The 12622-nt window shown below is 38.2% G+C and overlaps 1 protein-coding gene across 57 annotated transcripts in view; it reads right to left on the bottom strand.

Annotated features, from left to right (window-relative positions):
- Positions 1-12622, bottom strand: part of LPP (LIM domain containing preferred translocation partner in lipoma) — a 737651-nt gene that overhangs the window by 442768 nt on the left and 282261 nt on the right. The gene's annotated exons all lie outside the window — the stretch shown is intronic.

Here is a 12622-nt window from a genome sequence, read left to right as displayed (position 1 = left end):
ATGAGAGTAAATGGTAGTAAACAAAATAGAAATAGCACTGATGGTAAATGAGGAGGCATATGTTCTTGTCCCTACTCTATGGCCATACTGCTATAGAATCCCGGAGAGTCACCTTTTTTTTTTCTTCTAAGATGGAGTCTTGCTGTGTCGCCCAGGCTGGAGTGCAATGGCGCGATCTCGGCTCACTGCAACCTCCACTTCCCGGGTTTTAAGTGATTCTCCTGCATCAGCCTCTGGAGTAGCTGGGATTACATGCCACCATGACAGGTTAATTTTTTTTTTTTTTTTTTTTTTTTGAGGCAGTCTCACTCTGTCGCCCAGGCTGGACTGCTATGGTGTAATCTCTGCTCACTGCAACCTCTGCCTCCTGGATTCAAGTAATTCTCCTGCCTCAGCTTCTTGAGTAGTTGGGATTACAGGCACCTGCCACCATGCCTGACTAATTTTTGTATTTTTAGTAGAGACGGGGTTTCACCATGTTGGGCAGGCTGGTCTCGATCTCCTGACCTCATGATCCTCCCACCTCGGCCTCCCAAAGTGCTGGGATTACAGGCGTGAGCCACCACGCCCAGCCAAGAGTCACTTTTGCTTTGGACCTTATATATGCCCTGTAAAATCAAGTGATTCTCAACCCTGGTTTCACAAAATCATGTGGGAAATTTCTATAAACTACTGATGTGCAGACCCACTGCAAAACAATGAAATCAGAGTCTCTCAAGTTGAAGCCCTGGCATTTGTGTTTTATAAAACTCCCTCCAGGTAAAGCCAGAATTGATTGCATAGATGATCTCTGAGGTTTTTCTCAAGGCTTTCTAAGGTTCTGTATCCAAAGGAATCAGAGTTAGACCACACAGGCCACAAATCACATGTCAGACTTTTTGAAGCCCATACACTTCAAAAAACCTCCTTAATTAAGCCAACTGCTAAAGGAGAGACACCATCTCGTCTCTCACTCGTCCTGTGGTCACCAGCACCTGCTCTTGAGAAAGCAACTACAAAAATGAGAAAAACAGAAGTTCTATAATAGAATCCACATTTCTAGAAAGCTTACAAATGAGGCTTAGAGCTAAAAAGGACATGGAGAAAAGGCAAAAGAAAGCCATGAAAACAATCACGGTCCAATCATTCCCTGGGCAACTCACTCCATTGCCATGTTGAAAACATAGATGTTAGAAACCAAAGGGTTTTTTGAAGAAAGCAGGAGCTGAGTGGGAACTTGGAGAACAACAATGAAAGCAATGCCACAAAGAGAAGCTGACAAGCTCTGGAAGCAGCAAAACATTTTCATCAGTCCGTGAAAAATTAAGGAAATTTGGGGAAATGAGTTTAGAAAAGGAGATTGTTTACAAACAAATAAAAACAAAGAAAAATAAAAACCCACAGAAGCCTTTTGATGGCAATGTAAAACCAGTTACTTCAGAAACTAAAGACAGAGAAGTTAAATGACATACACAGTAACCAACAGGTTACAATGACACTTTTAAAAAGAAAAGGCTGAGATAATCTATGGTCAATTTCATGATGTTTTGACCTTGAGGGCCTGACTGGCACGGCGTCTGGAGAGTGGCAGAAAGAGACACATTTCAGAAAAACTGAAAGTCAAACACCACCTGCTACTTTCACTAGTTCTTCTAGGCCGTGTGAGATTGGAGTGGCAAAATGAAGCTGGGCTCTCATGCTCACTTAAAATGATGGACAACACCAGTGTGTTTATTAAAGAGAGCTGTTTCTAGTCATTTAAGTGGTGTCCCACAAGCCGTAATCAACCAAGCATTGTGGACAAGACTCTCCTGAAATTATTATGCATAGAACACATGTGGCAAGACCGCTGCCTTCAAGCAGACTATGAGAAGGCTCTTACTGAAAAAGAAAAACAGTGGGTGCAAAACTGGCAGAAAACTTCCCCTCCCTGTTAAATGGCATACGGAAGAAACAAATAAAATAATTTATTCTAAGAAGAGAGACCTTAAAAATGATAAAACTGATAGGAAACCATTACATCTATCCTGTATCACAAAAAATGGCCAGGAATTCTTTATCTCATTACCTTGCTGCATATGTTGGAGATGTGTGTGTCTCTGTGTGCCTGTGACTTTCACAGCTTGAGCTATTATATATTTATTTGTTTATAATCTATCAGGAGAGCAAATACTTTGGTCATTGCTTATTCCTGGTCCTAAAACAGTGCCTGGCACATCATGAGTTCCAAACATTGCCTGAATAAATGAATGAATGAATCAATGTCTTTTTTACTTTTTTTTTTTAAATTATACTTTAAGTTCTGGGATACATGTGCAGAACGTGCAGGTTTGTTACATAGGTATACATATGCCACGGTGGTTTGCTGCATCCGTCAACCTGTCATCTACATTAGGTATTTCTCCTAATGCTATCCCTCCCTAGTCTCCCACTGCCCAACAGGCCCCGGTGTGTGATGTTACCCTCCCTGTGTCCATGTGTTCTCATTCTTCAACTCCCAATTATGAGTGAGAACATACGGTGTTTGGTTTTCTGTTCCTGTGTCAGTTTGCTGAGAATGATGGTTTCCAGCTTCATCCATGTCCCTGCAAAGGACATGAACTCATCCTTTTTTATGGCTGCATAGTATTCCATGGTGCATATGTGCCACATTTTCTTTATCCAGTCTACCATTGATGGGCATTTGGGTTGGTTCCAATTCTTTGCTATTGTGAACAGTGCCACAATAAACATATGTGTGTGCATGTGTCTTTATAGTGGAATGATTTATAATCGTTTGGGTATACATCCAGTAATGGGATTGTTGGGTCAAATGGTATTTCTGGTTGTAGATCCTTGAGGAATGACCAGACTGTCTTCTACAATGGTTGAACTAATTTACACTCCCACCAACAGTGTAAAAGCATTCTTATTTCTCCACATCCTCTCCAGCATCTGTTGTTTCCTGACATTTTAATGATCACCACTTTAACTGGCGTGAGATGGTATCTCATTGTGGTTTTGATTTGCATTGCTCTAATGACCAGTGATAGTGAGGTTTTTTTTCCATATTTTGGTTGGCCACATAAATGTCTTCTTCTGAGAAGTGCCTGTTCATATCCTTTGCCCACTTTTTGATGGAGTTGTTTGTTTTTTTCTTGTACATTTGTTTAAGTTCTTTGTAGATTCTGGATATTAGCCCTTTCTCAGATGGACAGATTGCAAAAATTTTCTCCCATTCTGTAGGCTGCCTGTTCACTCTGATGATAGTTTCTTTTGCTGTGTAGAAGCTCTTTAGTTTAATTAGATCCCATTTGTCAATTTTGGCTTTTGTTGGCATTGCTTTTGGTGTTTTAGTCATGAAGTCTTTGCCCATGCCTATGTCCTAAATGGTATTGCCTAGGTTTTCTTCTAGGGTCATTTTTATTTTCTATAATAAATTCATGCTTATATATTTTCTTTCACAAAATCCTAAGAACAATCTAGTTCAAGTATAACAAATGTATTTTCCTATTTAATATGCAATCAACGAGTCGGGCATAACTTTTTCTTTCAAGTTCAAGATTTAAAGGCATTGCTAAAGGTATAAGACTTTTTGGTTTATACTTATAATTTCTCAAAATTTACTTTTATACATACCTCTTATCCTCTTAACATATACATGCAATGATACAAACCCTTACAGCCCTATATTATTTGTATTATTAGAAAAAGAATACAGCTCCACCATATCAATGCTGTGTAGAACAAAAATACATCATCCTTGTAGTTTAAAGTATTGAAATTATTTAGTTATTCCCTTCCCAAGAAGTGAAAAATATCTGAATTGTAAAGAGAAAATTTCCAGGTTGGAACATTTTAATGAAGAGAGGAAAAACACAGCTTCTGAGCAGGTTTGAGGAAGAGTCAAAGATGTATTTGAAAATTATGCACTATATTTGCAAAGTGAAGCATGTCCACTAAAAGTACATTCTTTATACACATGCTAACAAAATTAAGGGCACACCATCCTTTATTGAATGAGAGCCTGTTAGAAGAGCTAGTGTGTACCATTTCCTTTTGTTCCCTGGAGGAAAGCTAAGGGATGAAAAATACTTTGTTAATGAATAATATTAAGCTGCAAATTCAAAATTTTAAGCCACTGAGATTGATAAATTAAGGTTCTGATGGCAACCCAATTCTTTCCTGTCAGGCACATGGTATAGCTATAACTGGAACACTTGTTTCCATCTTAAGGAATGGGGAGGATTGATACAACACGAGATTCAGCATTGCTAATTAGGAAACATCAGCAAAAGTCGTTTGGAAGCTGCTGGAGTCAAAACCACAAAGAAAAGGACATGAAACTCATCCCACCATTTTCTCCTTAGCCCAGAAAGTGAGATCATAACAGTCCTTCATGTTTGTTAAGTACCTACAACTTACGATACGCTTCTATACAATATGTCATTTGAAGGAGAAATAAATGCAGGCCAATACTTTCCATCTCTATTGGATAAATGGAGAAACTGAGGTTCAATAGCGTAAGATAACCCTGCCAGGCCACAGAGCCTTCACGTGATGAAGGCAGGCCTCAAAACCAAGCCAATACCTTTTCACTCTAGAATATGGCATCAGACTGAAGCTATGCAGCCAAGAACTTGCTTCCGCCCTTTCTTTTCAATTGCATTATTTTCAATGGCAAGCAGGAATTGTCATTTTTGTTGTTGTAGATTGTGGTCAATGAACACTTAATAGAGCCCCAGTCTGAAAACAGTTTCTTCTCTTTTTTGCAAGTATTATGTGTACCTTTGTGTACAGGTGTTGGTAATAAAAGCATAGAAGACAAAGTTCAAGTAATGAAAATCAAGTTCTGAGAGAAAAGATCACAATGATCCCTTCATCAACCTGTCCACATGTCTCTGTCTTGCCTTTGAAAACAGAAAAAAAATTTGTGTGTCTCAGAATGCTTTTTATCATCTCCAAAATGGTTTTACAAATAGACACACAAACTCTTTCAACGTGCTCTTAAACAGAAAGACTCCTGGACTCAATCAGCACTCCTCTGGGTAACTCACGTATCTGCTCTTCTTCTTCTTCACAGAGCCAGCTGACATTCTCAAGACGAAACCCCTCAATCTGACATGTAACTGTAAAATCACTGGGCCCGAGGAGTGACTGTAATTAAGGGCTTACGTTGAAAATGTATAAACAGAGCTTGATTCTTAAGTTTCGAAAATTCTTCACAGTGATGGTGTGAACTAAATCCACAGCCACATAATAATCAAAACAGAAAAGCAAAAGAAAGCCACTTCAGGAAATACCACGGTCACACCTCAGTTGGCTTCATGCTACAGATTATAGAAAATATGTTGCTGCCCGGGCCACCAATCTGTTGGTTCACATTACTACGTGAGCAATGTAAGTGTTTGCAAGAAGCCATCCACTATCTAAATATCAGATATAGATGCTCCAAAGCAGCTACGTCAGTGATGAGAACAGAGAAAATACGTAGCAACATTTCATTAAGTTGAATTCTAATACTTAAAAGGCTCCTTTTAGTACTGACATTCTGGATTTTAAAAGTTATGTTGACCGCATGTTCTCACTCACAAGTGGGAGTTGAACAATGAGAACACACGGACACGGGGAAGGGAACATCACACACCAGGGCCTCTTGGGGTGTGTGGGGCTGGGGGAGGGATAGCGTTAGGAGAAATACCTAACGTAAATGACGAGTTGATGGGTGCAGCAAACCAACATGGCACATGTATACCTATGTAACAAACCTGCACGTTGTGCACATGTACCCTAGAACTTAAAGTATAATAATAAAAATAAATAAATAAAAGTTGTGTTGAATTCACTTATTCATTTTTTCATTCATTCATTCAATAGTTATTGCTAAGCACCTAGTGCCCACCAGCCATTAGGCTAGACCCCTAAGATACAATGATGCCCCTGTAGAGTGTACAGCTGAGTCTGTGAGGAAGTTATATGTTCTTTTACACACATACGCAATTAGAAACTGTAATGAGTATTGCGGCCGGGCGCGGTGGCTCACGCCTGTAATCCCAGCACTTGGGAGGCCGAGGTGGGCGGATCATGAGGTCAGGAGATGGAGACCATCCTGGCTAACACGGTGAAACCCCGTCTCTACTAAAAATACAAAAACAAAATTAGCCGGGCGTGGTGGCGGGCGCCTGTAGTACCAACTACTCAGGAGGCTGAGGTGGGAGAATGGCGTGAACCTGGGAGGCAGAGCTTGCAGTGAGCCGAGATCACACCACTGCACTCCAGCCTGGGCGACAGAGCGAGACTCCATCTCAAAAAAAAAAAAAAAAAAAAAAAAAAAAAGAAAAGAAAAGAAAAAAAGAAACTGTAATGAGTATTGCAATGGAAAACTTTAGGGGGATTTGAGAACATCCCTTCAACTCTGACACTGTACCTTCCAGGGACTAGTAATCAGAAAATAGAGGCAACTGTGAAGAAACTACGAATTGGGGTCTGAAGGCCTCTAAATGATGACAAATGCACATCCACTGCAGTTTTATTTTTATTTAAAACGTAAGCAACACTACAAAAGAATACATAAACATTCAACTTTAACCAATCCCTGCTTGCAAATTATCTTCTAATATATTCTGATAAACACATACGCACGCATACACACAGCATGGTGAAGATTACTGTTGTAGGACTTTGAGAATCTGGAATCAGTCCTTGATCTAGAACACACTAGTTGTTGAGATAAAACTGCCCCATCTTTATAAAATGGAGCTCATCATCTCTGCAGTGTCAACCACAAAGGGTTGATATGTAAGAATTCAATGATAGCATAGTATAAATACATTTTGAAAAGTGAATATTTTTTATAAACAAAAAGAAATCAATCCATATATCTGATGTATACAGGCACGCACACACACACACACACACATATTAAGGGAGAGAGAGTACACTGCATCAATCCATATATCTGATGTATACAGGCGCACACACACACACACACACACATATTAAGGGAGAGAGAGTACACTGGATTTCTCATTATCATACAATTTTCTTTTTAATCCCAGCAATTTTGCAGTTGCTCTGTTGCCTTTCTTTATGCAAAGTTTTCTATGCCAGCAGAAGATGGGAGAAGGAGGTAAAGATATGTAAAGGTCATTCTGCCTGACTCCTCCATTCACAGTCAGAATAAACAAAGGACTGGAATCAAACCCCAAAGGTCAAACTGCACCACTGTGTGATGATACTAATTAAGATAACCTATGGTAAAATTGGTACCAGCAGTAAGTTTCAGGAAAAATCTTGTGACTTTAATGTGACCATGAATTGACATCTAAGGGAAAGAGTAGCATAATTTTTACTTAATGTTTTGTCAGCAAGCATGCAAGAATGTCAGATGTAAATAACCGAAGCAGCATATTTACATCTGGTTTCCTATATTTAAAAAGCTGATGTGAAATCCTAGACTGCATGTCTCTTCTCTATCAATCATGAAGGACTACAAAAAAATCCTAGAAGGAAATGCTACTGCTTTGTAAGATCATTTATTAATGATAACATTCAGTAAGTGCTTACTAAGTGCTAGTCACTACTAAAAAAAAACTTTAAATATAATACTTAACCTTGACAACAACCTAGGAAGTAGAAATGGTTATTATTCTCTTTTTTACGAAAGAGGACACTGAAAATCAGCAAAGTTCACTAACTTTTCTAAGATCACACACAGTTAGCATTTACCAAACATACTAAACAGCTGTCATTCATCTGGCACTGTGCTAGGAGACCAGGAAGGTTGGGGAAGGTGAAAGGTAGAAAGGAAGACATTTCTGATCCAGAGATGTGTCACACACTGGTTTTAACCAAAGAACTTGCAGAGAAGCTAGGACATGAACAAAAATTTTGATAATCCAAGGTACAAAAATTTAAGTACCACGAGAATGCACAGTTAAGTTCCATCTCCATGTTTATGTGTATGAGTGAGGGTGGGGGCATAGATGAGATAAATTCCAGACAAAACAAATTACAGAATTAAGTGGAATAATCCTATCCTGCACAACTTTAGACATGTCGGTTACAGATTGATTCCTTTAGGACAGGCCCACAGCCTATGTATTCTCTGAACTTGTTTTCCCTGTGGTTAACTTGGTAATATAGTGAACAATAACTAGGATAGAAGGTTCCCAAGGGCAGCTACCATGTCTGTACTGCATCCTCAGTGCCTATGATGGTATCTACTACACAGCAGTGCTAAGACATACGGAGTTATATGTTGAACAAGTTAAAATATTCATTACTTAATTAAACATTGAGCAAAATAATGAATACAGAAACATAAAGCCAGGTATAAAAGAAGTATAGACTCCACTGGACTTCATGAACTGTCCCCAGGTTTAACTTTGCAAATCTGAGTGCCAAGGGACTTTTGTTAGACAGCAAGTGGGATTTCTCTTGAGTGAGACTACACTAGTTACCTAACTGGTCAATTATCTCGAGACTACCAAGGAGCAAAACATGAAGGTTTGTTTTACTCTCTGCCAAGGCAGGAAGCACACAGCGAAATACAAAAGCTGTATTTTCTAGAACTCTCTTGAGAGCTGTAAAGTAACTCATTTGCAGAAGTCGCTGATTTTGTACATGGGGACTGGTTGGTGAGATTGAGGAAGCGAATGATGGTTGACTTCCTGGAGTGAGTCACGGCTGTAACCCCCTTTAACATTATTAATAGAACAGAGGGAAAATTTCCAGGAAACACCAATTACCACAACAACCAAAATAGAAAAGGTGGCTGGTGACTTAATCACCAAACTTTAGGGGAGACTACTCCCCTTTCTTTATCAGAAAATGACAATAATAAATCAAACTAATACATTTTGAAACTAGTGTACCTGCATGTTTTAACAATTTGCAGAGTTCTTTAATCCTATACTAAGATTTTGCTCTAGCAGAATGACCATACATACTCTGCACTAACTACAGTTGAGCCAAAGTTTTGAAAACATGATTAGACCTCCAAGAAATAGACATATGCATTCAATGATTCATTTAGCCATTATTCCTTGTTTTAAACTTTAAATCAATAGGTATTTAATGGGAACCTGCTATGTACCAGAATCTTATTCTCTAAGAAACAAAGAATTAAATAAATGAGGTAACAACTATAATAAGTGTCCTATCCTCTGCTCACCATCGTAATTCTCTTCACGTGGTTTTTACGTTATAGTGACATTAAGGCTAAGAGATTAGTTCTGTTCTATAGCCTCAGGAAGTGTAAAAAACCTTAGGTCTGCCTAATAAGTTCAAAAACCTATGAGATTCTAGTCCTGTTCTGCAGGTATGCCATGCCTGCCTCCATAGTTTAATCACCTCATAAATGGGAAGAACAGTGTAGTTACTACACGTGTAAGTAAGCTCTGGGGCCAGGTTGCCTGGGTAGTACTACTTAATATGGGACTCAAAGCAAGTTATTTCACTGGTTGGGGCCTCAGTTTCCTCATCCAGAAAATGGATATTAATAATAGCACTACCTCATAATATTATGAGGATTAAATGAGACTGTGTGTGTGTGTGTGTGTGTGTGTGTGTGTGTGTGTGTGTGTGTGTAATGCATGGAATAGTGTCTGGAACACAACACCTTAAAATGTTTTACTAGTATTCTCATTATAATTACCACAGCTACTCTAAGATTGGGCTTTTTCATTAGTCACAGGAATATAATCAGTTCCTCAGTTACACAGCTATGACTGGTCATACATTCTAACCAACCTGTCTGTTTGGTCAGTTATGATCCATCACCATGCTTAGCCATCCTGACTGCAATGAAACGACATGATCCAGTCCAAAAGGATATTATATCCAGGCAGTCTAGTTGGGCCACAACTGATTTATCTCCATTGCCTATTTAAATTCAGTGAGTGTGGCCAAGAAAAATAGCCTGTCCATCCTGTCCCTACCCACCTTATACAAATAAATATCTTCCAACTTAACCAGTTACAAATGTCCTTTTGGCCCCCAAGTGCTTCGGCAAAGCTATCACACTTACTGCAGAATGGAATTTAATTAAAGGGATACATAGTAAATACCAATTCATAGAAGCTAGTAATAGCATGCTCCCAATTTCTTCAACATGTCTAGCTTCTCAAAAAGCTATACCCATGAAGACCTTCATTATGTTCTCTAACATAAAAACACTTAAAGCAGTGAAATAACACAAACGACCAGTAATATGGCAATAGTTCAATAAATTCTGGGATGCTTACTTCAAGAACTATAATGCCATTGCTAAATATGATGGTGGGGAATTCTTATTCTGTAGTATTAAGTGAAAAAAATGCAAAATTATGTCTATCTTTAGTTACATATTATGAAAACTATAAACATATATTGGCAAAGACTAAAAGAGTACAGAGAAAATGGAGTTGATGTGTTAGAGAGACAGAATTGTAGGTTTGTTTTTTAAACAAATTTGCTTTCTTGTTATAAAGTCATTTGTGTACATATTTAAGTGTGTGGAATATCTTTAAACTTACCTGAAGTCCACAAAGAACAAAAATATCCAAGAAGGATTTATGTGATTGAAACATATTAGCAAACATCAAGTGCATATCAAATTATCCTAATAGCAGGAACTTTTCCTGTTGAAGGATACACAAGGCATTACTTAGCATATCATTCAAATGCACGTACTTTGGAACGGAAGCTCTAGTATCCTCCTAGATCCATTTAGGCCTGAATCCTACAGAAAAAGCACTGTACCTAAGTCTCATTTATCAGCAGCATCAAGTGTTATTTAGGAAAGTTGCTCACATAAAAGATCATCATCTTAATTTCTAATTATTACCATGGTAAGCAGCTGTATAAATGGCTAAATAAGGTATGGTTCTTAATTCCAAGGAATTTACATCTTTAACTCACACTGTGGCTCTAGGCTCCAGGCTGAAAGGTTGGCAGAGTCTTTACTCTTTTCCTCTCTGATCCCCTGGATCATCCCTACTGCACCTCTGAAAACTGTTGCTCTGTGCACCTCATGTCCTACCCCCCATCGAAGTCGCCTGTCTCCATTAAAGCTGGCCGTGCCACCCCACACCCCAACCCCACTCTGCCTGCTCACCATCCCACTACCCATCTTCACCCACAGACAATCTTACCTACACAAACTTTAAAGCCCATCTACTTTTGCCCTTGTAGGCCTTAAAATATATATTCTTTTTCAAAATTCATACTGAAATTCAAGTCTGGGCCTACCACTATACACCTAATTATTTTCTAATTGGTTTTCTATTTTTAAAATCTCACCAAAAGCCCTTTTTGGCCTTTTGCATAGAAATCCCAGGCCTTACATTTTTGCTTTTGTTTTCTCCCAAGGCAATTAACAGTACTGAACAGATATCGGGTCCTAAGTAAATATATGCTTACACAAACATTATTTATACATAGAAAATGTTGAAAATAAACAGGAGTTGTTCACGAAATGCAAACATGTTTCTCAAGTAATATCTGCACTGTCCATTGAGATGATTAGAACACAGAATCTAGGAAATGTTAAATCTGGGAATCAAAGATCTGATTCTGATGTTGACACCCTAAGCACTAGTGGCTCCGTTTCTTTTAGCCTCAGTTTCTTCGTGTAAAATAAAATTTACTAAAACTGATAACGTCAATTATATATCAGCCATAACCTTAAGATGATCCACCTTATCTCCCTTGGGTCAGAAGTCAGGAGCCCTGTTATTCTGGTATTGGTATCACAACACTATAGTCAGTGGTACTAGGTGACATTACCTCTAGATATTTCATTTTAGTAATCTACACAATGGAAGAGTAACTCTTGCCATTTACATATCCACGAGTTCCAAGGATCAAATAAAGTAATGTGTGTGCTATGAATGTAAAACACCATATTATAATGAAAAATTGCATTGGCTCCTGTTATTGTTAATATTAGGTTTGGGACAGAGGAAGAATGGAAGTTCAAATGGTGGGAATGTTGCTTTAGAAGCGATCTATGGCAAGGAAACAGGTCAGGAAATGCAGCTGGAGAAAGCCATATGCCTTTTGTCTCTTTAGGACAGCAGGAAAGCTGTAGAGAAAAGGAAGACTGAGTGAGATGTGCAAGTGCCTCAAGCTTCAAGGAAAGGGACAAAATGGAAGCAACATTACAAACACAACATCCTCAGATTAATTCAGGTTTATGCACTTATTTCCTGTAACTGATGTAATAAACAAACCTTAGTCTGATTCAGAAAGTGACATCACAGAGATTATTTCCAATATCCCCAAAAATGTGGGGTATTTCCATGGTTTATAAATTTCTAAAGGTAAAATCAAACTAAATAAAGCCTGCATTAAGAAAAAAGAAAGAAAAAGAAACATATTCAGATATTATTTATCCTGAAAAGAAAACAGGTATTAATTTATATTTCCTTATTTACTTTCCCCCTCCCCCCAACAGAGAAACAAATTATATAACACCTTGTGTTTATATAAACGTGTGTCTCCAAGTAGGAGGTAGTACTGTACAAATACTATTTAATCAAACCTCACCTTATCACTAAATGTGGGCAATGGATCATTATTAAAAAGTCATGTTAAATTGGAAGAAAAAACAGCTATAAAATAATAGGAATATTTAGTGGTAAAAAGTAAACCCTTGTGAGTTCAATGAGGTCAAAAAACA

Source organism: Homo sapiens, chromosome 3 (assembly GCF_000001405.40).
Source record: "Homo sapiens chromosome 3, GRCh38.p14 Primary Assembly".
Lineage (NCBI taxonomy): Eukaryota > Metazoa > Chordata > Mammalia > Primates > Hominidae > Homo > Homo sapiens.
This window is presented reverse-complemented; position numbering and strand designations above follow the sequence as displayed.